This window comes from Homo sapiens, chromosome 12 (genome assembly GCF_000001405.40).
Source record: "Homo sapiens chromosome 12, GRCh38.p14 Primary Assembly".
Lineage (NCBI taxonomy): Eukaryota > Metazoa > Chordata > Mammalia > Primates > Hominidae > Homo > Homo sapiens.
Genome location: NC_000012.12, coordinates 122502103 through 122527231, shown reverse-complemented (window position 1 = coordinate 122527231; position 25129 = coordinate 122502103). Strand labels below are relative to the sequence as shown.

At 40.3% G+C, this 25129-nt stretch overlaps 1 protein-coding gene across 15 annotated transcripts, besides 3 other annotated features; it reads left to right on the top strand.

Annotated features, from left to right (window-relative positions):
* Positions 157-616: an enhancer, noted in NCBI's record as "active region_7230". NCBI's record gives its function as "activates an Ori minimal core promoter by ATAC-STARR-seq in GM12878 lymphoblastoid cells {active_cell/tissue: GM12878}" and the evidence as "EXISTENCE:reporter gene assay evidence [ECO:0000049][PMID:35858748]".
* Positions 296-23778, top strand: RSRC2 (arginine and serine rich coiled-coil 2). 15 transcript variants are annotated; one of them, NR_036434.2, is made up of 11 exons: positions 296-384; positions 4933-5089; positions 5804-5847; positions 6651-6728; positions 8203-8393; positions 9802-10005; positions 12005-12127; positions 16044-16123; positions 18782-19014; positions 20309-20398; positions 21526-23778. NR_036434.2 is itself a non-coding variant. In NM_023012.6 (10 exons), the coding sequence occupies exons 1-10, from the start codon at positions 379-381 to the stop codon at positions 21703-21705; spliced, it is 1305 nt and encodes a 434-aa protein (NP_075388.2). In that variant the 5' UTR covers positions 296-378; the 3' UTR covers positions 21706-23778. The 15 variants fall into 15 exon arrangements, 10 of the variants coding, with proteins under 10 accessions (NP_075388.2, XP_005253658.1, XP_016875319.1 ...); NR_036435.2 differs by having other exon boundaries at positions 8181-8393; positions 18785-19014; NR_036436.2 differs by lacking the exon at positions 6651-6728 and having other exon boundaries at positions 8181-8393; positions 18785-19014.
* Positions 12819-13008: a silencer, noted in NCBI's record as "silent region_5017". NCBI's record gives its function as "represses an Ori minimal core promoter by ATAC-STARR-seq in GM12878 lymphoblastoid cells {active_cell/tissue: GM12878}" and the evidence as "EXISTENCE:reporter gene assay evidence [ECO:0000049][PMID:35858748]".
* Positions 22963-23163: a silencer, noted in NCBI's record as "peak2019 fragment used in MPRA reporter construct". NCBI's record gives its function as "represses an SCP1 promoter by STARR-seq MPRAs in K562 erythroleukemia cells {active_cell/tissue: K562}" and the evidence as "EXISTENCE:reporter gene assay evidence [ECO:0000049][PMID:32103011]".

The following is a 25129-nucleotide window of genomic DNA, read 5'->3' as shown; positions in this document are numbered from 1 at the left end:
CCCAACCCCTTTACGGCGGCCGGAAGAGACCAAGATTACTTTAGACTCGAAATAGGAAGTTGCCCCACCCTGAGTTCCGCCCATTCCGTTCTCCCGACTGCGCATTCCGGGGGTGTATTCTTGGCCCCGCCCTCTTCACGGTCTTTACACTCCCCTATGAAAGAACACCCAATCACCGCCTCGAATTGCGTTGTTATAGAAACTTTTGTTACCGCCCCTTTTTCTCCCAGCAAGCTGTGCGACGCGCCGGGCCTCCTCGCCTTTGTGCCATCCGGGTCTCTCGCGCGAGCGATTTAGTCTGAGGCGAAGCTTCGGAGCGGCCGGTACTGTTGAAAGCGACAAGTGGAGGCGCCGCTCTAGCGGCCGGGACTCTGAACTATGGCGGTAGGTACCGAATCTGAGTTTAAAGCCAGGGATATTTTTCTGCTACGTTCCAACAGTGGGTGAACGGCTCCCAGAACCTTGTTCGTGTGTATGTGTGTAGACAAAATGGCGCCGCGGCCTTCTTCTGCGCCCGCCATCATGGCTGCCTGCTGTAGGGAGGGGGAAGTAAGGCGGTGTTGGTGGGGGTGGGGAGCCGCAGGGAGTGCCTTTTTTTTTCCAGAACTTTCCTCCTCTCTTCCCCAACCCTACGTTCCTTTCGCCTCACTGAACTTCCTCCATTTTCGCTTATTCACCCTGGCTAGTGATTTATTCTAAGTTTTTTTTAGGGCCTGAGAATTTGCGGTGGAGAAAGGGGCTGGGGAAGAGAAAGACGATCAGGAGTGGTCTCTGAAAAGTATTGGGTCAAAAAGGCAGTGTCTGTAAAGGGTAGTGTGGGAGAAGAGAGCGACTTGTAGCTATTTTTTTTTTTGTACGCTCAATGAGATGCTTCTAGTTGCATAATTTCAATTAGTGTTCGTCCGTGTAAACCTTATTATTGTGTATTAACGAGCTAGGAAGGTATTGCTGAAAGGGAGTGAAAATTCAACTTAAAAGGTTGTGGAACTACCAATTCTGACTGATGCGCGGTTTCCGAAGTGGCCCGTGATGTAATCAATTTGAAGTCCGAGAAGCGTTACAGTTAAGTCTTGTCACTGACCTTGTTCCTTTAAATTTAAACCCTTCGTTGGCCGGGCGCGGTGGCTCACGCCTGTAATCCCAGCACTTTGGGAGGCCGAGGCGGGCGGATCACGAGGTCAGGAGATCGAGACCATCCCGGCTAAAACGGTGAAACCCTGTCTCTACTAAAAATACAAAAAAATTAGCCGGGCGTAGTGGCGGACGCCTGTAGTCCCAGCTACTTGGGAGGCTGAGGCAGGAGAATGGCGTGAACCCGGGAGGCGGAGCTTGCAGTGAACCGAGATCCCGCCACTGCACTCCAGCCTGGGTGACAGAGCGAGACTCCGTCTCAAAAAAAAAAAAAAAAAAAAAAAAAAAAAAAAAAAAAACTCTTCGTTGACCCCAGAGGAGCTACAGTTCGTAAATTATCTATTCTGAACAATAAGCCTGCGTGTGTATAAGATACCCAATTCTGACGGATCCACATTATTTTGTGCTTACCTCATTTTTATTCCGTTAAAAGGAAAATGTAAAGATTTTGCATTCCTTTTTACTGACTAAAAAATTACATCATTTTCGATAATAATTATGACTCTTAAACATAGTGATAGTTTTAAAGTTTGCTCTTCCTAACGATTGGAATGCCTGGGATTAGGCAGATGATTTTCTTTTTCCCCCATACCCCTCTATTATTTAGGTGATTGAGTTTAAACCCGTTTCTTTTACTGTCTTCCTTTGTTTAGTGTTTTGGGCCTCAGTATACTTAAAGAGTAATACTATTTTTCTTGGGTTGCAGGTTTTTTTGTATTTTTTCGAGACGGAGTTTTGCTCTTGTCGCCCAGGCTGGAGTGCGATGGCGCGATCTTGGCTCACTGCAACCTCCGCCTCCCGGGTTCAAGCGATTCTCCTGCCTCAGACTCCCGAGTAGCTGGGATTACAGGCGCCCACCACCACACCCGGCTAATTTTTTTATATTTTTGGTAGAGACGGGGTTTCACCACGTCGGCCAGGCTGGTCTCGAACTCCTGACCTCAGATGATCCACCCGCCTCGGCCTCCCAAAGTGCTGGGATTACAGGAGTGAGCCACCGCGCCCGGCCGGGTTCTAGTATTTTAAAAAGTGAATTTAAACATTTATTTATGCCGTGCCTTGTTCAATAAAAAGACAGTCCCCTAGAGAAGTGACCTAGTATTCAATCCAGTGCTTACCTCCTTCGCAGTGGAAAAAGATTTGTCTATGTTTCGAGCCGTTATTAGAGTTTGCAACAAAATGTAAATTATAAGAAACCAAAGTGGCTACCTCGTAGAGCCACTGCTGGAATAGAAGGCTGTTTTGCAGTTAACGTTTATGTGTACACATAGATTAGTACTAAATTAAAGCTTAGAAAATTTCAGAGCAATTTTAATACTCAGTTTTTGGTAGGTTTTTTTCCTGGATACCTGTATTATGCTACTATAAAATATCCTCAGGGAAATAAAAGTTTTCCATGGCCTCAATGACCACCTATCATTCCTATTTGTTTAGTGTTAAGATGGTTTTTGTTGTTGCTCTGTAGTATATTTTACAGATGAAAATGGTTGATGATGTAAGTTTAAGTTAGCCTATGTCACAGGGAGGTTTCTCTGTTGTCCAGCTTTGTGATGTTAAGCATGAAGTTAAAGTTAGATAAACCATTGCCTGAAAACTGCCTAGGCTAAGCACTAGATTTTCCATGAGAAGGTTGTTTTCGATTCTAGTCTTGTTCTCTGCAAAAGTAAATGGGATTTGCCACTAGTTAAGGAATTCTGTCTCTGGCAAAAGTGTCGTGCAACTGAGAGAAGTAATAGCGGTGCTTAAAATTTTCGAGATCACTTCTGTTTACCAAGTGTAAGCTGTACAAACACTCAGCAAGTAATAAATGAGTCTGAAATAGTCCTCAAGGATAACGATGAAAAAAAAAAGTGTCCAGAATTCATTGTGAAAAATCAGAATCATCCTTAATGATACAGCATTATTTATTAGTAGTAAACAGTAAAGATACGGAGATGCAGTATCATTTTAAGCAAGTCAGCTAATGTTGCTGGATCTCATCTGTGAAACGAGAAAGTTGAACTCTATTCTAAGGGGTGAAAACCTTTCAGCATAAAAATTTTATGGTTCCAGAAGTCACCCAGACTGGAGAAATAAGTACATATACAATATGCTGGCATGAGAGCCTCCCTGGTAGTTAATTTCTTACTGTTCTTTTTGTGCCATTGTTAGAGGAATAACACGTAATTTATGTCTTTCATCTCATAATTGAACTGCAAAACCTTTCTGTTTTTAATTTATCATTTTATTCCCTAAGTCTAGCATTGGTTTTGGCACATTTTTGACCCTTAGTAAATACTTGTTGAAGTAACTCGACCTCTCACAACTTCATTTATTAAAGTACAATACACCCATTTATTGTACTTGATACTTGTTTAAAATTTGTTAAAATACAATACCCCCATTTATTGTACTTGATATTTGGTATTCATTTTCTGGACTAACTTTCCTAAAGGAGGAAGTTCTCTAATGTGATTCCTCCTGCTGAAGACTATCGATTCCCTATTTATTCAATCCAGATTCCGTTTGATGTTATACGTGAAAAGTCCATAAACTGTTTCTGTAAAGGGCCAGACGGTAAATATTTTTGGCTTTGTGGGCCATGTGCAGTCTCTGTCACATTCTTTCCCAGGCTGGAGGGGCAGTGGCGCAATCTTAGCTCACTTCAACGTCTGCCTCATGGGTTCAAGCCATTCTCCTGTCTCAACCTCCTGAGTTGCTGGGATTACAGGCACGCCCCACCACTCTTGGCTAATTTTTGTGTTTTTAGTAGAAGCAGGGTTTTACCATGTTGGCTAGGCTGGTCTCAAACTCCTGACCTCAGGTTATCCGCCTGCCTCAACCTCCCAAAGTGCTAGGATTACAGGCATGAGCCACAACACTGGCGTTTTAAGTGCCTTTAGTTTTAACAGTTCAGTCTTTACAGTGCTATTTACTGAAGTTATTTATTAAATATGCCTAAAATAGTTTTAAAAAACGTAAAAAACCATTCCTAGCTCAAGGCCATACAGAAACAGAATGAGGACCATAGCTTGCCAACCCTTCCTAAGTAATCAATTCCCCAGGTGTATCAATTATTTTATTTTCATGTTATCTTCTCTGGTCAGATAGCCGAGCATTGTCTACCTTCTGCATTAGTTGAAACTTGTAAAATTTATATTGTAATAATTACTTATAAAATGCTTTAAAGCAGAAACAACTTAATGTTTTCATAGCCCAGAGCACATGTGAGGAGAGGCAGACCATATTTTGCAGCAGCACTGTGCCAAGGGGCTGTTTTCATTAAAGAGGGTTAATGACATTAAGATGAGGTTCTCACTTAGGTAAGTTAATTTTCTGTTTATTATTTTATAATATTCTTAGGGCATTGTTTTAAGATTTTATCGTCTTGAGTATCTTTAAGCTTTAACAACTCATTTTTGATGTTTGACATGTATGCTAATTTAAAAGTATTGGTAAAGTCAGCTAAATGCATTCACACATCTAAAAAGGACTATTTTCTCTGCTTGAATGCTTATTAGAACTACTTGGAGCCCTTATTCCTCCCCCACCCCACCCCATGTTTTAAAAGTTATACAAATCATCGTTAGAAAATTAAAGATACATCAGTCTAAATATGTAGGTCTTGCTTTAGTATCAGGTTCGTCATTTCAAGCCATTCAGCCTTATTAGTGTACAAAGCACATTTAGTTACTTGGAAAGCAGGCATTCTGATTTATTGATTGTGGGGGGCTATCTTCCCTCCCTTTGTCCCTCTTTTAAGAAATTGAAAACATTTAAAATGTAATTAAGAACTTTAATCATTTGTTTTTAAACTTTTAGGCTAGTGATACAGAGCGAGATGGACTAGCCCCAGAAAAGACATCACCAGATAGAGATAAGAAAAAAGAGCAGTCAGAAGTATCTGTTTCTCCTAGAGCTTCAAAACATCATTATTCAAGATCACGATCAAGGTCAAGAGAAAGAAAACGAAAGTCAGGTATGAATTCTTAAAGGTGGTTACAACTCTCAGCATTTGTATAAGATATGTAGACCTGTTGTATAAGAAGACACATACATTTAGTTTGTTGGCTGGGCATGGTGGCTCAAGCCTGTAATGCCAGCACTTTGGGAGGCCAAGGCAGGCAGATCACCTGAGCCAGGACCAAAAATACAAAAATTGACACACTCTCAGCCCAATGCAACCTCCATCTGCTGGGTTCAGGCAGTTCTTCTGCCTCAGCCTCCTGAGTAGCTGGGATTATAGGCGTGCGCCACCACGCCTAGCTTATTTTTGTATTTTTAGTAGAGACTGGGTTTCACCATGTTGGAACATATCAAATATAATTCAACCTGTTTATTTTCTTTAGTTTTTATTTTTCTTAATGGCTTACCTCTCTCTATTAAACCCCCTTATGAATTTGCTGTAGACTAGGAAACTAGATGGGCTGGTCAGAATATATGTAAAATACTGAAAGTCTATGACCGTTTAAAAGATGTATCTAGGCTGCTTTATGTCCTGGTTTGCTCAGATTGCTTGATTTGTTTCACATGTGTGTTGTATTAATGTAGAATAATCCCACCCGTGCCATGAAAAAATTAGTCATTGGAAGAAGACTAATGGGAGTCATTTTTCTCCAGCATTAAGAGTTTTTTAAGATGAAATGTTTCTCCAACTTTGTTTATGGTGATTATTTTTTTTGTGTATTCACAGATAATGAAGGAAGAAAACACAGGAGCCGGAGCAGAAGCAAAGAGGTAATTAACACTTTGTAGTGAATAGGTACTTTAAAATACTTATAAAGTGTCTGGTAGAAAGATTTGTATGAATATAAGACGTTGTCAAGGTAAGTACAAAACTTGAAATTTAAAAGGTTTATTGGGTTATAAAATAAGCATGATTTTGATTCATCATTTTTGAAGAAGATGTTTATGTGAAAAGTACCTTCAAAACTTTAATTTTATTATATTGTGAAAATATTCACAATAAAAATTTCATATGAAGAATATGATTGGTTTTTTTAGGCCTGTCACACAGAGCTTCCATTAATCTGAGGTCCCGAGTCTCCTGGTGCCTGACAGTTGCTCAGGATTTTTAAACAGCAATCATCTTTACATAGCAATACCCTAGATATCTGTGCGCTGCTTTTTCCTTATGAACGATAACAGGAGTTCTCTTTTCTTTTGCAAACTAGTTCAGTTTCCCTAATAGTAGTATTGAATTTTGAAATAAAGGTTTGAGTGAGGGACAGCTGAAAAGGTGGCGGTGACACCAAAACTTGAGGAAAAAGAAAGGCAGCAGCTGTATTGCAAAGGAGTTACTTGTTCACCCACCTGAGAAGACAAAGAATGAGCCAATAAGGAAGTGTAGAAGTAGTAGCCAGAAAGGGAGAAGAGTCTTGTGGGGGCTGGGTAAGGGACTCCTAAAACAAGAGTGGGCAGGGACTTCACCTCTTCCCGTAATGGAAGCTCTGTTAAATTTTTAATTTAGGAGAGTTTTTGTGAAAATGACTATTTTGTTTAGCTCACATGATAACATTTCTATAATAAATCATACTCAGCGTGCTTATGCGCGAAGAGACTGAACTGAAGACGCTGCAGACTCAGATAGCAAAATAATAAGCCTACTTCATGATAAGGTAACTATTAGTCATTCAAACTCCTATTTCCCTTAAATATATCTTAAATCAGTTAAGGGTTTTAATGTTTTTTTTAAATTAATAGTAATGTTATGTTTGAAAAACTGGTTTGAAATAAACTTTAAAACCTTTAGAAGTTTAACCACTTAAGACTTTTCCAGTCTGCCTCGTTATAGCAAAACCAAGGAAAATTTCTTTTCTAAGCTCCTATAGAGAACTGGCAATGAAACTAAAATTTAATTGTGTCTCCAGGTCTCTTATTTTTCTGCAAATAATAAATTATGTACTATGATCATTTTCAGATAAATCATCATGCATGTTCCAAAATGATTGGCCAAGTTTTATTTTTAAGAAACATTAATCGTGAGTGGAAAGAAACATGCTATGGCCTTTTGGGAGACAGTAGTGTCTTATTACAGTGGAAAAGTGGTAGCGTGGGCATCAGAAAAACATGGGGAAGGTTCAGCTCACCCATGTAGCTTTGTAACTTTAGATCTTAGTTATACATAAAATAAGGGGATTAAGTTAGAGGATCTTAGTTTCCTTCCAGAATTAAAATTTAGTGATTCAGAGATGTCTAGGATTTTAAACTTTCACTACAAGATGAATTTGACAGATCTTCCTGTAGGGAACTGTAGTATGTAGCACTTCTACTTTGGTATTTGGTAGGATGAGACTTGATCATGCAGTTAATTTGAGCTGAGTCTCTGAATGCACATGTGAAGGCCTTGGTCTTTTTAAAGTGTGGGGGCAGTATGTATTGTGTGATGGCATGTGGATTGTTATACCTAGTTTGGTTTCTTTAAAATTGAAACATACAGTTGCCATTTCTACCCTAGGTACATGAAGTGTAATACTCCTCTAAGCCTATTGGGATACTGCAAGATGAAAAGTGATTGCTTCACAGTTTAGACATTGGGAGGAAAATCAAGAGCTGTCTTTTAGAGGATGTAGCAGGCAGTATAACTGTAAAAGGGACACTGCATCTCTGTGTAAAATAATTTGAAATTATAGAAAATATTAGTACTTAGTAATAATTATATTTAGCTACCTAATTGAAATGCGTTTCTGGTGCACTTTTTGTGTCATTATCTCCATTACTTACTTAAACTTAACATTATGTAATCTGGATTTAGAAGTTGATGTATATACATGGTCTGTATTCTTTTAGATAAACATAAGGGATTCCTCTTTTGTCTGGCATAATGGCTTTTCAATATTTCAACTTTAAAAATCATTGTTTCTGTTGTATTGAAAATATTTTGGGGAGGAACTACATTTTGGGTGTTTATAGTAAAAAAAATAGTAATTACATCTGCAACATTTGGGTGATGTGAAACTAGATCTTTTTTTTATTTGCCACACACTCCTAAGGTTACTAATGTTGCATCACAACATTTTTGTCTACTGATACCCATACTAACTCTCTTTGTTGCACTATTTTCCTGAAAGAACCAACTTCTTCTTAAAACAGGGAAGAAGACATGAATCCAAAGATAAATCCTCTAAGAAACATAAGTCTGAGGAACATAATGACAAAGAACATTCTTCTGATAAAGGAAGAGAGCGACTAAATTCATCTGAAAATGGTGAGGACAGGCACAAACGCAAAGAAAGAAAGTCATCAAGAGGCAGAAGTCACTCAAGATCTAGGTCTCGTGAAAGGTAAGTCATGTTGTATTATAATGTAGTACCTTCTAACAAGTTACATAAAGTTTCTCATTGACCCAGCAACACCCAAAAAAATCATAATTAGGGAGTTTTTCTTGTTCGTTTGTTTGGGTTTGTGGTTTTGTTTGTTTTTTGCCTTTGGGCTTTGCTTTCTCATCATGCAAAAATGGTTTCCAAGAATGGGGTGTAAGGGATGACTAAATCTCAAGTGCCTAGATTTCTTTTCCCTTTTTTTTTTTTGACACGGAGTCTTGCTGTGTTGCCCAGGCTGGAGTGCAGTGGCATGATCTCGGCTCACTGCAACCTCTGCCTCCTGGGTTCAAGTGATTCTCCTTTCTCAGCCTCCCAAGTAGCTGGGATTACAGGCATGTGCTACCATGCCTGGCTAGTTTTTGTATTTTTAGTAGAGATGAGGTTTCGCCATGTTGGCCAGGCTGGTCTCGAACTCCTGACCTCAGGTGATCCACCTACCTCGGCCTCCCAAAGTGCTGGGATTACAGGTGTGAGCCACCGTGCCCAGCCTAGATTTTCTTTTTTGAGATGGTCTCTCTGTTGCCCTAACTAGAGTGCAGTGGTGTGCTCTCAGCACACTGCAGCCTCTTGTCCTCCAGGGCTCAAGTGATCTGACCTCAAGCCTCCCAAGCAGCTGAGACCACAGACATGCGCCACCACACCCAGCTAATCTCTTAGTATTTTTTTGTAGAGACGGGTTTTGGCCATGTTGTGCAGGCTATTCACGAATCCCTGGGCTCAAGCAGTGTGACGGCCTTGGCCTCCTGAAGTGCTGGGATTTCAGGAGTGAGTCACTCTGCCCAGCTGAGATTTTTAACCACTTAATCTGTCTGGCACTGAAAAAATCATATTGTTAAACTGTGTGGTTTAAGCTGATAAACAGTCCTTTTGCATCATCGATGGTGATGTTGGTGTTTGCTGCTAAACTGCAATCTAGATTTTTTTTAATGTTGGAGTATAGATAAAAAGATTTTTGAGAAACTGGATCACAGCTCAAATTTGTGAATGGTTTTTGGTGGGGTTTTTTTTGGAGAATTCTGTGGGTTGTGTGTGGTATCAGACTCAAAAATTTTTAGTAGATAAACTAAAGTATTAAGATTTGTAACTACTGTGGGAAGAGTATTAAACGGAAGCTTAAATTTGGGTAGGATGCATTGAACGCTTTTGACATGTTAATAGGTTTACTATGTTCTAGGACAAATTATCAAACAAAATGAAGGGTTCGTTTTCAGTTAGTATTTCCTTTGAAAATCTCGCTTATTTCTGTAAATAATATAGTGCAGTTACTTGCTTGTCTTTATTGCGTTACTACAAGTAACTAATTCATGATGTGTATAAATGAAACAACACAACTTTTAAGTAATTACAAATTTGTGCACTTTAATTTCAGACGCCATCGTAGTAGAAGCAGGGAGCGGAAGAAGTCTCGATCCAGGAGTAGGGAGCGGAAGAAATCGAGATCCAGAAGCAGAGAGAGGAAGAAATCGAGATCCAGAAGCAGGGAAAGAAAACGGCGGATCAGGTCTCGTTCCCGCTCAAGATCAAGACACAGGCATAGGACTAGAAGCAGGAGTAGGACAAGGAGTAGGAGTCGGTAGGTGACCATCATCCTGAATAAAATTTAATAGGACCCTCAGAGAGTCTGTTTATCTTCCTCAGTAAGAGAGTATTAAAATTGTGAGTCACAATTCTATTTATAGATTATGGTAAAATTATTTTAGTCATTACCTAACGTATGAAGAACACACCTAACCACTTGAATAGCATTCACAGGTATTCTCGTGATTGATAAATCTCTTGCGAAGTGCAGGTATGAATAGGCCTATTAAAATGCAGTTGTTGGCTAGGTGTCGTGGTTTACACCTGTAATCACAACGAGGCGAGCAGATTTTTTGAGCCCAGGAGTTCAAGACCAGCCTGGGCAATATGGTGAAACCCCATGTCTACAAAAGATATGAAAATTAGCCTGGGGTGATGACCCACACCTATGATCCCAGCTACTTGGGAGGCTGAGGTGGGATAATCACTTGAGCCCAGAAGGCAGAGGTTGCAGTGAGCCAAGATCATGCTGTTGCACTCCAGTCTGGGTGACAGGAGTGAATCCTGTCGTAACAAACAAATTCAGTTGTGTTCAACACTGGATTTGTTGTATTAATTTTATTATCACAAATAACTAAAATCTCCTTTTGCATACTTACCATATGCTGTATGCTAGAACTCCTTGCATGTTATTAGCTCATCTAGTTCTCAGAAGAACCATGTTGAAAGGTAAGTGTGTCGTGCTTAAAGACGTTTAAGAAATTTGCCCCAGAATTCCAAAACAGTATCATTATTAAGTGCTAGAGCCAGGAGCAGGTTTCAGATATATCTAAATGCAAATTCCATGCATGTGCTTAACCCACTGTATTGTACAAACTACCTCAGATTTTGTTTGTAAATGAACACAATTTAGATTTATCTTGATTGGTGGGAGGAGGCTTTGTTGAGATAGGAGGTGTACAATAAAGAGCACAGGAGGAAAACTAATTATAAATATTCTTCAATGAATGCGTTATTCTCTGCTTGTTTACATATGACAGTAGTATACTGACTTTTGTAAATTGATTGCAACTTAGGTCAGTGTATGAAAGATTGAAACATACATTTAAAAAGGGACCTGTACTTAATACAGTAACTTGGTTTTTATGATTTATCACTTGATCTTTAAATCAATATGAATTTTTACTCAGTGGTTCTAGTTTATAGTAGTTTACTACTTTGAACCTTACCAATTAAGAAATTTTTTTTTAAGTGCTTTTTTGGTCACTGACATCTAGTTTTTTTGTTTGTTTTGAGACAGAGTCTCACTCTGTCGCCCAGGCTGGAGTGCGATGGCACAATCTTGGCTCACTGCAACCTCTGCCTCCTGGGTTCAAGCGATTTTCCTGCCTCAGCCTCCCGAGTAGCTGGGATTACAGGCACCCAGCATCACGCACGGCTAAATTTTGTGTTTTTGTAGAGACGGGGTTTCACCATGTTGGCCAGGCAGGTCTCGAACTCCTGACCTCAGGTCATCTGTCCGCCTGAGCTTCCCAAAGTTCTGGGATTACAGGCATGAGCCACAGCACCCAGCCAGACCTAATTTTTAGTGGTTAATAACTTTTTATTTTTGAAAAACATCTACAAATTCACTGTAGATGAAAATATGTAGGAATGATTCCTGTGGTATACATATTGACCTACAAGAGCACAAAATGACTAATGTATAAGGCTAGCTTTTCCAACATTGGATATACTATGCAAAAGATTGGAAACAGCCAGATGCGGTGGGGCATGCTTGTAGACCTGTGTACTCTGGAGGCTAAGGCAGGAGGATCACTGGAGGCCAGCCTGGGCAACATGGTGAGACCCTGTCTCTTAAAAAGGGATGAGGGAGTTGGAAACAAATGTTATTTCCAATGAGTTCAGCTGTAACACTGATGTTTTAAATCTTTTGCATCTCAAACTAAATGTTTTTGTATCGTTGGGATTTTTGTTTGAACTAATTGATTTCTTATTAACAAAATAGTTATGACTTGGCCATAATTTGACATATGAAATACGATTTACTACAGAGATAGAAAGAAGAGAATTGAAAAGCCGAGAAGATTTAGCAGAAGTTTAAGCCGGACTCCAAGTCCACCTCCCTTCAGAGGCAGAAACACAGCAATGGATGCACAGGAAGCTTTAGCTAGAAGGTGTGTATATTTCTTAATTCATTTGTTCCAGTTCGCCTTTAAATAAATGCTCAATTGTGTGGATAAGATGAATTCTTTCAGTAAGAGAATGATTCACATACTTTAGTAATATGGTGGCATATTTGTGATCTAGAACTATGTAAATAGTTTAATTCTCATCCTAAACATTTGCACAACTATAAGATTGAGATGTCTACAATTTCTGTTTTTTCCTTCATGATTTAACTGATTTCATTTTTCTCAAATTTAGACTCCCAAATATTTTCAGTTTGCATTTGAAACTTTTTTTTTTTGAGTCTTAAATCTGGTTCAAGAACTATTATTTTCTCATCTAAGATGACTTTTCCTTTACTTTTTGTTTTTCTCCCTCAAATAGACAAAATACCTGAAACAGTAAGTAAAATTTTGTCAATATTATTATTTTGAAGATGGCAATTAACAGATAATACATTATAAGCTAATTTATTTGATCTTGTAAGTTTTATTCCTGGTAACTATGGGAGAACTTTTTTTTTTTTTTTTTAATTTTCTGCTGTTTCGGCCGGGTGCAATCGGTCACACCTGTAATCCCGGCATTTTGGGAGGCCGAGGCGGGCGGATCACTTGAGGTCAGGAGTTGGGAGACCAGCCTGGCCAACATGGTGAAACCCCATCTCTACTAAAAATACAAAAATTAGCTGGGCGTGGTGGCAGGCGCCTGTAATCCCAGCTACTCTGGAGGCTGAGGCACGAGAATCGCTTGAACCCATGAGGCAGAGGTTGCAGTAAGCCAAGATCGCACCACTGCACTCCAGCCTGGGCGATAGAGCGAGACTCAGTCTCAAAAAAAAAAAACACACACACACACACACACAAAAATAAATTTTCTGCTGTTTCAAAGATGAGTAATGGTGAAACCACACACAGCACGACTATATATTGAAATCTGCAAAACTATTCAAAGAACTGCCTCATAGAGAGGCAAAAAGTAAAATAAAATCCAAGCACTTGTTTGCAGTATTTCCCATATTTTGAAAAATAGACTTTTTAGGTTTTGATTTTTTTTTCTCTCGTTACAAAATTAAGGTGTTTTGTTTTTTGAGACAGGGTCCCACCCAGGCTGGAGTGCAGTGGCACATGATGACGGCTCACTGCATACTTGAATTCCTGGGCCCAAGCAATCCTCCCACCTCAGCCTCTCAAGTAGTTGGGACCACAGGCATGCCTGGCTAATTTTTGTATTTTTTGTAGAGAAGACGGGGTCTCCCTATGTTGCCCAGGCTGGTAACACAGTGTAACCTGATGTGCTTCCCTGGGAACCCAGCCTGACAGAAACTGCAGCTGAACAGCAGCAAAAGTGTGAGCTCACCCCTTCTTTCCATTCACCTTAGTGAATGGTATTAATTCCAAATCTTCAATGGCCATTTTAATGCAACCAGTTGTAGTCACACGTATCTTCTTTCTGAAACTAGTATGGAAATAATTTACTATAAAATTGGATTTAGTATATGCTAGATTGTAATTTCATTAACTCTGACAAATATTTTTTAAGCTCTTATTTACTTGAATGCCATAAGTCTATTCTGTTTGTGTTTTTGGATTTTTTTAAAAGTGAAGCCGTTAATAGCATCCAAAATGTCATTGATATATAGATTACTTGGTGATCTTTCAGATAAAGTTTTAAATGTAGTTCTTTAATTTCAGAATATGAGATTATTTACTACCTTGAAATCTGGAGAATTTTTTTCTTAAGAAACTACCATGTATAGACCTTTTATATTGGTTTCTTTTTTGGCTTAAAGGTCAGGATTTAAAACTGTTTAGGAAATACATTTCAGATCTGTGACCTACTTTTTTTATTTTTTATTTTTATTTTATTTTATTTATTTATTTATTTATTTATTTATTTATTTATTTATTTATTTATTTTTGAGACGGAGTCTTGCTCTGTTGCCCAGGCTGGAGTGCAGGAGCATGATCTTGGCTCACTGCAACCTCTGCCTTCTGGGTTCAGGCAATTCTCGTGCCTCAGCCTCCCAAGAAGCTGGGATTACTGATGCGCATCACCACACCCAGCTAATTTTTGTTTTCTTTTTAATAGAGACGGGTTTTGCCATGTTGGCCAAGCTGGTCTCGAACTGCTGGCCTCAAGCAGTCTTCCCACCTTGGCCTCCCAAAGTGCTAGGATTACAGGCATGAGCCACCTTGCCAAGCCTGCGACCTACATTTTATTGTTACTGCTAATTTACAAACTTTTATTCTCAAGGACAAAGTCAAGTCTATGTTATGCCTTCCATGCATATGTGCTTCATAAAAGGGAATAAAATTATAGCTTGTTATATTTCTTTTATGTAAATTTCAACAATTTTTTTTTTTCCTTTTCCTCTTTTTTTTTTTTTGAGATGAAGTCTTGTTGCCTAGGCTGGAGTGCAGTGGTGTGATCTCAGCTTACTGCAACCCCTGCCTCCTGGGTTCAAGCGATTCTCCTGCCTCAGCACCCCAAGTAGCTGAGATTACAGGCGCCCACCACCACGCCCTGCTAATTTTTTGTATTTTTAGTAGATGCGGGATTTCACCATGTTAATAACCAAGCTGGACTCTAACTCCTGACCTCAGGTGATCCACCCACCTCAGCCTCCCATAGTGTTGGAATTACAGGCGAGAGGCGTGGCGCCGGGCCGACTTAACAATTCTTAAAGCAAATCCAATTTACTACCCCTGCATTGTATTACCCATAGTGCCCCAAAACAAAAACAAGTTTTGTCAGTCCTGTCCCCTTTATACCACATTACAGAGGGCGTTAGTGGCATTTGGCTTGATTGATAAATCAGGGAATCCTTAGGAAGAAAAGAGTTCCTCTTTCAGGAATTCATTGTGAAGATAATGTTACTTGTTATTTGCTATATAGAAAGGGTAAACTTAACATATAGCTTGTTTAGTGTGCATACTCATTAGTGAATTTAATGTATGCACACTACTCATTCAACAGAGTGAGTAGAGAGAACAAGCATTCATTTTTGGGCTGGGCATGGTGGCTCACGCCTGTAATGCCAGCACTTCGGGAGGCCAAGGCGGGCGGATCAGAAGGTCAGGAGTTTGAGACCAGGCTGACCAACATTGGTGAAACCCCATCTCTACTAAAAATACAAACATTAGCTGGGCATGGTGGTGTGTACCTGTAATCCCGGCTACACAGGAGGCTGAGGCAGGAGAATCGCTTGAACCCAGGAGGCGGAGGTTGCAGTGAGCCAAGGTCGTGCCATTGCACTCCAGCCTGGGCAACAGAGTGAGACTGTCTCAAAAAAAAATTCATTTTTGTTTTGGGATGAATTTGTGTTTCATGTTACTAGTTCCTTTGTAAATGATAAATTTGTTCAACTGCTAGAAGTAATTTCCTAATTGAGAAAAGTTTTCCTCCCATTTTATTAGATTACAGAGAATGGCAAGGTTTGCTTGACCTTTTAGTTTTGGCTTTTTGATTTTTATTAAATTGAAGACTTTACTAAGGTCTGTACAATATAAAAAATTATCCGAATGTCTTGATCGGCTGGCTTTTTCTCCCTCAAGAAACATTTAGATAATTCTATAAATTTATTTACTACTTAACCATGCTCTAAAATTTACTCAGCTTTCAATATGTTACTTGCAAGACGTAATTTTTTTCACTTGTTAATTGGAACTGCATATAAAAACTATGCCCATTTCTGACTAGTCAATTCAAAAATGTTTAAAACCACTGTTGTGGTATTCTTCAAATGTAGCTTATATCATCTTAAGAATGATTGCTTTTTCTTCACATACGGCTATCGGTGGAGGGATGCTAAAAATTTAAAATTTTATGGAAGTTGGCTTGTCTCTGTACATGCACATATAGAGAGATATATACATAATGGTTTTATATTGTGTTATTTTAAATTCATTGAAATTAATTTTGCAGGTTGGAAAGGGCAAAGAAATTACAAGAACAGCGAGAAAAGGAAATGGTTGAAAAACAAAAACAACAAGAAATAGCTGCAGGTAATTTTTTTCATTCTTTTTTAGTCATCTCGATTTGAGCTCTTTCAAGCTTTTTTGTTTTTCACAGGGATTTGCTCTGTCATTCTGACTGGAGTGCAGTGGCTCCAGCATAGCGCATGGTAGCCTCAAACTCCCAGGCTCAAGTGATCCTCCCACCTCAGCCTACCGAGTAGCTGGGACTGCAGGTCCCACATCACCATGCATGGCTAATTTTTTTCTTATTTTTTGTAGAGAGGACCTTTCACTATGTTGCCAAGACTATTCTTGATCTCGGGCTTAAGCAGTCCTCCTGCCCCAGCCTCCCAAAGTGCTGGGATTGCAGGCATGAGCCACTGCACCCAGCCTAAGTTTGACATGCTTTTTGTAGAAAAATTGAAAAATATAGAAAATAATAGGAAGAAAATCACCTATGATTCCTACTTCCCATCAGTACACTGTAAACGTGTATTTTAGTGTTCTCACTTAAGTGTTTTGTAGCTTGTTTCTGATGTGGTCCATGTGGATAATTTTTGTTGATAAATTAGTAATGAGTATGTTTGTTTATGTAACACTAGTCATCATGACAGATCTTGTTGTTGTTGTTACGGAGTCTCGCTCCATCGCCCAGGCTGGAGTGCAGTGGCGTGATCTCAGCTTACTGCAACCTCTGCCTCTTGGATTTAAGCGATTCTCCGCCTCAGCCTCCCCTGTAGCTGGGACTACAGGTGTGCACCACCACATCTAGCTAATTTTTGTATTTTTAGTAGAGACGGGGTTTCACCGTGTTGAACCAGGATGGTGTCGATCTCTTGACCTGGTGATCGTCCTTCTTGGCCTCCCGAAGTGCTGGGATTACAGGCATGAGCCACCACGCCCGGCCCCAGATGTCTTTTACGATTTTGGAAATGTAGTTTATGCAAGAAAGTGAACTGATCTGAAATATGTATTTCTCTTTCAAGAAATCAAGTTTTTATGCGTAACAAACATTGCAGATTTCAAAAATTATCAGGCCTGGCTCAGTGACTCACTTCTGTAATCCCAGCACTTTGGGAGGCCAAGGCAGGTGGGTCACCTGAGGTCAGTAGTTCAAGACCAGCCTGGCCAACATGGCAAAACCCCATCTCTGCTAAAAATACAAAAATTAGCCAGGCGTGGTTGTGTGTGCCTATAGTCCCAGCTACTCAGGAGGCTTGAACTCGGGAGGTAGAGGTTGCAGTGAGCCAACATCACGCCATTGCACTCTAGCCTGGGTGACAGAGTGAGACCCTGTCTCACGAAAAAGAAAAAAACAAAAACAAAAAACAAAAAATTATCACGAAGAGCTTACTGTTGATTTGGTATGAAATTTAATCTGGAAGATGGTTTTTTGTTGTTTTTTACATTTTTGGTAAACAGTGGCACTTATTTGAAACTCTAAAAGTTTACAAATAGCCATTTTATTTTTACTACATCATTACTCTCTTTGGTAACTCTGGTTCCCATAATGTTGGTAATTTAAGTACTTTTTAAGGTTATATTCTGGACTGACAAAAATAGGTAATCAGAGGTGTCTTTTTTTACAGAGGACTGCTCAATCACAGTGGAAATACCAGGGCTTTATTGAACTTGGACTTAGCATAATACCTGCATACTGTTGTTGTTTTTGGGTTTTTTTTTGTTTTTGTTTTTGTTTTTTTTTTTGAGACGGAGGCTCATACTGTCGCCTGTGCTGGAGTACAGTGGCACAATCCTGACTCACAACAACCTCCACCTCTCGGGTTCAAGTGATTCTCCTGCCTCAGCCTCCTGAGTACCTGGGCTTATAGGCGCCTGCCACCACGCCTGGCTAATTTTTTTGTAGTTTTTATTTGAGACGGGGTTTCACTATGTTGGCCAGGCTGGTCTCGAACTCCTGACCTTGTGATCCGCCTGTCTTGGCCTCCTAAAGTGCTGGGATTACAGACGTGAGCCACTGCGCCCAGCCTTAGCTGCATACTGTTTTTCAAGTATATGATGTGAGCATCAAATGAAATGTCCATGAGAACATTTCATAAATTTAAAAAAATACAAGGTTTTATTGTTTTGTAATTATACCTTAGAAACACTATAGTTCATCTCCACTGAAATCATACTTTCTTACTATTTGCAGAATTCTCTATCCTCAAAGTAAATAAATGGGTTTTTTTTTTGTTTTGATACGGAGTTTCGCTCTTGTTGCCCAGGCTGGAGTGCAGTGGCATGATCTCGACTCACTGCAACCTTCGCCTTTTGGGTTCAAGTGATTCTCCTGCGTCAGCCTCCCGAGTAGCTGAGATTACGGGCATGTACCACCACGCCCGGCTAATTTTGTATTTTTGGTAGAGACGGGGTTTCTCCATGTTGGTCAGGCTGGTCTCGAACTCCCAACCTCAGGTGATCCGCCCACCTCAGCCTCCCAAAGTGCTGGGATTACAGGCGTGAGCCACTGCGCCTTGCAATAAATGGTTTATATATCAAGGGTTTATGTAGAAATATGTCCGTTGATGAACACAATAAATGTTTGCTAAAAACTTGTGAGCTAATACTCAGTCATTTCCTTGGATTTGGTGAAAATCCTGCCTTTTTGCACATTCATAGCTTTTTATAAATCGTTCGTTAATGTAAATCAGGAGGTTTATGTTTTAAAATCGTTTTAAAATCCATTTTTGTATTCTCTTCAAGCAGCTGCAGCTACTGGAGGTTCTGTTCTCAATGTTGCTGCCCTGTTGGCATCAGGAACACAAGTAACACCTCAGATAGCCATGGCAGCTCAGATGGCAGCCCTGCAAGCTAAAGCTTTGGCAGAGACAGGAATAGCTGTTCCTAGCTACTATAACCCAGCCGCTGTTAATCCAATGAAATTTGCTGAACAAGAGAAAAAAAGGAAAATGCTTTGGCAGGGCAAGAAAGAAGGGGTAAGTTCTCTTATTCTGCTTTTCTGTCGTTTATTCCTAATTAGTAATTGCTTAGAAAAACAAATTTGGGTTGAAAAATATTACTTTCGGCTTAACTTTGTAAGAACCTGGGGTGGCCAGACGCGGGTGGCTTATGCCTTTAATCCCAGCACTTTGGGATGCCAAGTGAGCGGATCAGTTGAGGTAAGGAGTCCAAGACCAGCCTGGCCAACATGGCAAAACCCTGTCTCTACTGAAAAGAAGATAAAAATCAGCTGGGTGTGGTGGCACACACCTGTAATCCCAGGTGCTTGGGAGGCTGAGGCAGGAGAATCGCTTGAGCCTGGGATGCAGAGCCTACATACAGTGAGCCAAGATCATGCCACTTAGCCAGGCATGGTGGTGGGCACCTGTAATCCCAGCTACTTGGGAGGCTGAAACAGGAGAATCACTTGATCCTGGGAGGCGGAGGTTGCAGTGAGTTTCCAGCGAAACTCCATCTGGAAAAAAAAAAAAAAAATCACGCCACTGCACTTCAGCCTGGGTGAGACCCTGTCTCAAAAAACTTATAATAAGCTATGATAGTCTTATTTGCCAGTTATTAATACTAAAATAAAACATAATTGATTGAAGTCAAGCTTTCAAAGAAAACTAATATTACCATAGAAGTAGTAAGGAAAAGAGGCTACTTGGTTTAGAATTTTTCATAGATTATGAGGTACTTTTTTTTTTTTGACATTATTTGCAATGACAAATGACATTAAATGCAAATGACATGCAGTCGCAAAAATTGCATGTTGAAAAAGGTCTATGACAGGAAAATAATCCATTTTTTTATTTTATTTTTATTATTTTTGAGACAGAGTCTTGCTCTTGTCACCCAGGCTGGAATGCAGTGGTGTGATCTCAGCTCACTGCAACCTCTGCCTCCCAGGTTCAAGCAATTCTCCTGCCTCAGACTCCTGAGACCCTCCTGGGTCTACAGGTGCCCACCACCATGCCAGGCTAGTTTTTTGTATTTTTAGTAGAGACGGGGTTTCACCTAGTCATCCAGGCTAGTCTCGATCCCCTGACCTCAGGTGATTTGCCCACCTCGGCCTTCCAAAGTGCTGGGATTATAGGAGTGAAGCACGGCGCCAACCTCTTGCTTGTATTTCTTTGCTTTGTGGTTTCTTAAGTCTTGAAATAATTAAACTTACATTGATTGAATGCTATCCATGGTGTTTTTTTTTTTAATTTAGACATTGTTGAGAGATTTCATGTCCTAAAAAATATTTAAATTTTACATATTTTAAAGTTCAGTGTTTGTTAACAGGACAAATCCCAATCTGCTGAAATATGGGAAAAATTGAATTTTGGAAACAAGGACCAAAATGTCAAATTTAGGAAATTGATGGGTATTAAGGTGAGTTTCACATGTGCCAGGGGATCTTTGTATTAGCTATTAGCCCTCCTGCACTGTTCTTCCCTCATTTTCTTAGTTCTGGTCTTTACTCAGGTGTCAGCGTTTTTGAGTTCTTTCCCACCACCTTTTGTGAAATAACAAGCAATCCCATTCTGAAACATTTCCATCTCCCCTACCCACTGTCCTCCCTACACACACACTTGGAGAGAGAGAGAGAGACGGGGTTTTGCTCTGCTTGCTCTGTCACTTGGGCTGGAGTACAGTGGTGCAGTCATACCTCACTGCAGCCTTAAACTTCGAGGCTCAAGCAGTCCTTCCACCTCGGCCTCTCAAAGCCCTGGATCACAGTTCTGAGCCACTGCGCCCAGCCTCCATCCCCATTTTCTACTTTACTTTCCTCTGTGGCATTTATACCCTGACATCTTCTACATATTATGTTTTTTCCAACCTACTAAACTGAAGTTAACTTTTGTTACACCCTGCTATATTCCAGACCTAGAAAGAACATTGCCTTGTCCTTTGGAGGTGTTCAATAATGAATGGAAATTAAGTTATTGAGATCAAATACATATCCCAAAAGTATATTTTTGTTTGTTTGTTTTTTGTTTTTAGTATAGACGGGGTTTCACCATGTTGGCCAGGCTAGTCTCGAAATCCTGACCTCAGGTGATCCACCCGTCTCAGCCTCCCAAAGTGCTGGGATTACAGGCGTGAGCCACACTGCACCCGGCCAAAAGTATAATTTAATAGTGTCAGCCTAGTTCACACCTGTAATCCCAACACTTCGGGAGGCCGGGGGGCAGGCGGCAGGGGGGATCCCTGAGGTCAGGAGTTCGAGACCAGCCTGACCAATGTGGTGAAACCCCGTCTCTACTGAAAATACAAAAATTAGCTGGGCGTGGTGGCATGTGCCTCTAATCCCAGCTATTTGGGAGGCTGAGGCATAAGAATTACTTAAACCCAGGAGGCAGAGGTTGCAGTGAGCCGAGATGGCACCACTGCACTCCAGACGGGACAACAGAGCAAGACTCCATCTCAAAAAAAAAAAATACATAAAAAATAGTGTCAAGTGAGAGAATATTTATCTCCATCTGAATTCATTGTAATGTTTTATGTCTGATTTTTAGAGTGAAGATGAAGCTGGATGTAGCTCAGTTGATGAAGAAAGTTACAAGACTCTGAAGCAGCAGGAAGAAGTATTTCGAAATTTAGATGCTCAGTATGAAATGGCAAGATCACAAACCCACACACAAAGAGGAATGGGTTTGGGTTTCACATCTTCAATGCGAGGAATGGATGCAGTTTGAAAATGATCACACTTGTAAAGTTTGGGACTTATAGACTTCTTGTTCTGATGTCACGTCCTTGTTCACCAAACAGCTAGCACTCTAGCTTGCATGGGTGTTGCATTGACTTTAATTTATTGAAAAATACAAATTTTTGTAAATATCAGATCAGTGATACTGGTGTTAGTGTTGTAATCAGGTTAAACCCACTTCCATTAAACTTGACAGGACTATAGAAGGATAATATTTTTTAGTTCATGAATTCTACTTTTCAAATATATAAAAGCTGCAGGTGGGGATAAAATCTCATACATGGATTTTTTCGTGTCCGCTGTCTTGTGTACTTTTGTACTTAACCTTGTACAGTTATTTTCATCTCTTGAAACATGAAAGAAATGTTATGTAGATGTTCTTTAGAAGATCTGGCCATTTGGTACATAATCCAGCACAGATAAGCTGGGTGGTAATGATAATAAAAATGGTTTTCTCAAAACTGGTGTTAATTTAAGTTACCTGGGATGTTTCTTTGAATTTGTTTTATAGTTTCTGTAGCATTTGGCAATTGCTGTTAGAAAACACTAGCTAGAAATCCCCTCCCCACCACCCTTTTTAAGGCCAGTTAACTATACTACAGTCAATACCGTGGTGAGCAAAAATGTAAAAGGTGGAAGGAGAAAACTTACTAAAATAGTATGTTTTCCTATTATAAGGGACAGACTTGGTATTCAGTATTTGTCAAATATTACATGTGTTATTCAGGAGATAGATTAATGCATTAAAGGGATGTAAGCACTTTTATTTTAATAAAGTGCCTTATAACAAGTTCTTTGCATGCTTTTTGCTCATTATCCCTTTGAAGTCTTCTCCAGCATAGACTATAAAATATTAAAATATTAGAAATTTTTTTTGTTTGTTTTTTTGAGACAGGATCTTGCTCTGTTGCCTAAACTGGGTGCAGTGGCACAATCTCGGCTCACTGCCAGAGCCTCTGCCCCCCAGGTTCAAGCAATTCTCCCACCTCCACCTCCCATGTAACTGGGATTACAGGCGTACCACCGCACCCAGCTAATTTTTGTATTTTTAGTAGAGGTGGGGTTTTACCATGTTGGCCAGGCTGGTCCTGAACTCCTGACCTCAGGTGATCCACCCTCCTCAGCCTCCCAAAGTGCCGGGATTATAGGCGTGAGCCACTGCAGCCAGCCTAGAAAATGTTTTGTTACTAGATTGAACATAAATCTGGAGCCAAGGGGTGGGGGGGGCCTGCAAAACTTGAAGTTAATTTACTTCAGTTACAGCAAAGTAATAAGGTTTGGCTTTCCTTTGAAAAATCCTTTGGAAAACATCACAGAATGAGAGCACATTACAATCAGGGAAGACTACAGGAATAAGATTGACAGCCTTATTTTAAAAGCTGGAATTAAGTCTTGCCAACTTGCTCATTAGGTATTTTTTTTATACATGAAAATGAAGTAATGGGGTGTTTTCTTTTTTTTTGCTTTCTGTCCTAGGCTGGAGTGCAGTGCATTGCAGCAGGCTCCCCCAGGCTCAAGCAGTCCTCCCACCTCAGCCTCTTGAGTACCTGGGACCACAGGTGCTCACCAACACACCTAGCTTGTTTTTAATTTTTTATAAAGACAAGGTCTTGTTACGTTGCCCAGGTTGGTCTTGAATTCCTGGCCTCAAGCAATCCTCCCACCTCAGGGCTCCCAAAGTGATGGGGTTACAGGTGTGATCCACTTCACCTAGCCAGATTGTAAGATTTTTAATGTACTTTAATAAACCTTTCATTTTCCCAGAGCACAGAAATTCTATGGCAAAATGGCTTTTCACCGTGTTTCAGTGACAAATCTAAGCCTTCTAAGGAAATGACACTATGGATCCTTCATTTCGTGATCATCAACATTTTTCAATTAAGCTCTGCCTTTTTAAATCAATCTTATTAAAAATGTTCATGACCTTCTAAGGCAGTGTGGACGCAAAAGCTTCCTGTGTGTCTACAGTTATTTTAGGAGCTGACCATACATGATGAGTGATACAGCCTGTACTTTGCTCATCTAGAGCAGCACTGTCCAATAAAATATGTGTGTATATGTATATTGGTCCAAGTGATCTTCCCACCTCACTCCCCTGAGTAGCTGGCACCAAAGGCCCATGACAATGTACCTGAGATGGGGTTCTCAGGCTGTTGGCCAGGCTGGTCTCCCACTCTTGGCCTCAAATGATCTGCATCATCTCAGCCTCCCAAAGTGCTACCTGGGATTCAGGTGTGAAGCCACAGTGCCTGGCCTAAGTATTTTATTTCAATTTCTTTTTTGAGTAGCCAAATGCAAATAATTAAAAGATGAAATTACAGTTGTCCCTTGAACACATGGGTTTGAACTTTAGGGTCCACTTACATGCAGAATTTTTTTTTCTTTTTTTCTTTTTTTTTTTTTTGTGAGAGACTCTTTTGCCCAGGCTGGAGTGCAGTTGCATGATCCTAGCTCACTGCAACCTTTGTCTCCTGGGTTCAAGCAATTTTCCTGCCTCAGCCTCCTGAGTAATTGGAATTACAGGCACCCGCCACCACGCCCGGCTAATTTTTGTATTTTTCGTAGAGACGGGGTTTCACTATGTCAGCTAGGCTGGTCTTGAACTCCCGGGTTACACCATGTTGGCCAGGCTGGTCTTGAACTCCTGACCTCATGATCCACCCGCCTGGGCCTCCCAAAGTGCTGGGATTACAGGCGTGAGCCACCACGCCAGGCCTCATGCAGATTTTTCAGTGAAAGTAAACCTGGGAGGCGGAGGTTGCAGTGAGCCGAGATCATGCCACTGCACTCCAGCCTGGGTGACACAGTGAGACTCTGTCTCAAAAAATAAAATTTCAAAAAAAAAAAATTTAAATGGCCAGGCACAGTGGGTCATTCCTGTAATCCCAGTATTTAGGGAGGCAGAGGCAGGAGGATAGCTTTAGCTCAGAAGTTCAAGACCTACCTGGGCAATATAGGGAGATCCTGTTGTCCACAAAAAGAAAAAAAAAATGTTAAAATGTGTAAGTGACTTCCCAATGTTGTAAACGGAAAGAGGCTTCCTTAAGGGCCTTTGAGCACTGACCTAGCAGTGTTCCAACCTCATCTTGCTCCACTCTGCCTTTTCACTCAACATGGTGGTCCTTACACCTAAGACACTCTTCCATCCTCCCACCCCCAACTTTGCCGATCCTTAAAGTCTCACTTCCTCACTTTACTGACTCCCACAGACTAGGGTGTTTGTTAAATATTCATAACTTCCTGTGTTTTTCACCTTTTTTTTTTTTTTTTTTTTTTTGAGACAGAGTCTTGCTCTGTCGCCCAAGCTGGAGTGCAGTGGCACGATTTCGGCTCACTGCAACCTCTGCCTCCCGGGTTCAAGCGATTCTCCTTCCTCAACCTCCTGAGTAGCTGGGATTACAGGCGTGTGCCAC

Bases quoted from the DNA above. Each gene is read 5' to 3' on its own strand.
- RSRC2 (XM_005253601.3), top strand. The intron at 10,006-12,004 runs GTAGGTGACCAT...GATTTACTACAG, and splicing joins AGGACAAGGAGTAGGAGTCG to AGATAGAAAGAAGAGAATTG. The intron at 20,399-21,525 runs GTGAGTTTCACA...TCTGATTTTTAG, and splicing joins GGAAATTGATGGGTATTAAG to AGTGAAGATGAAGCTGGATG.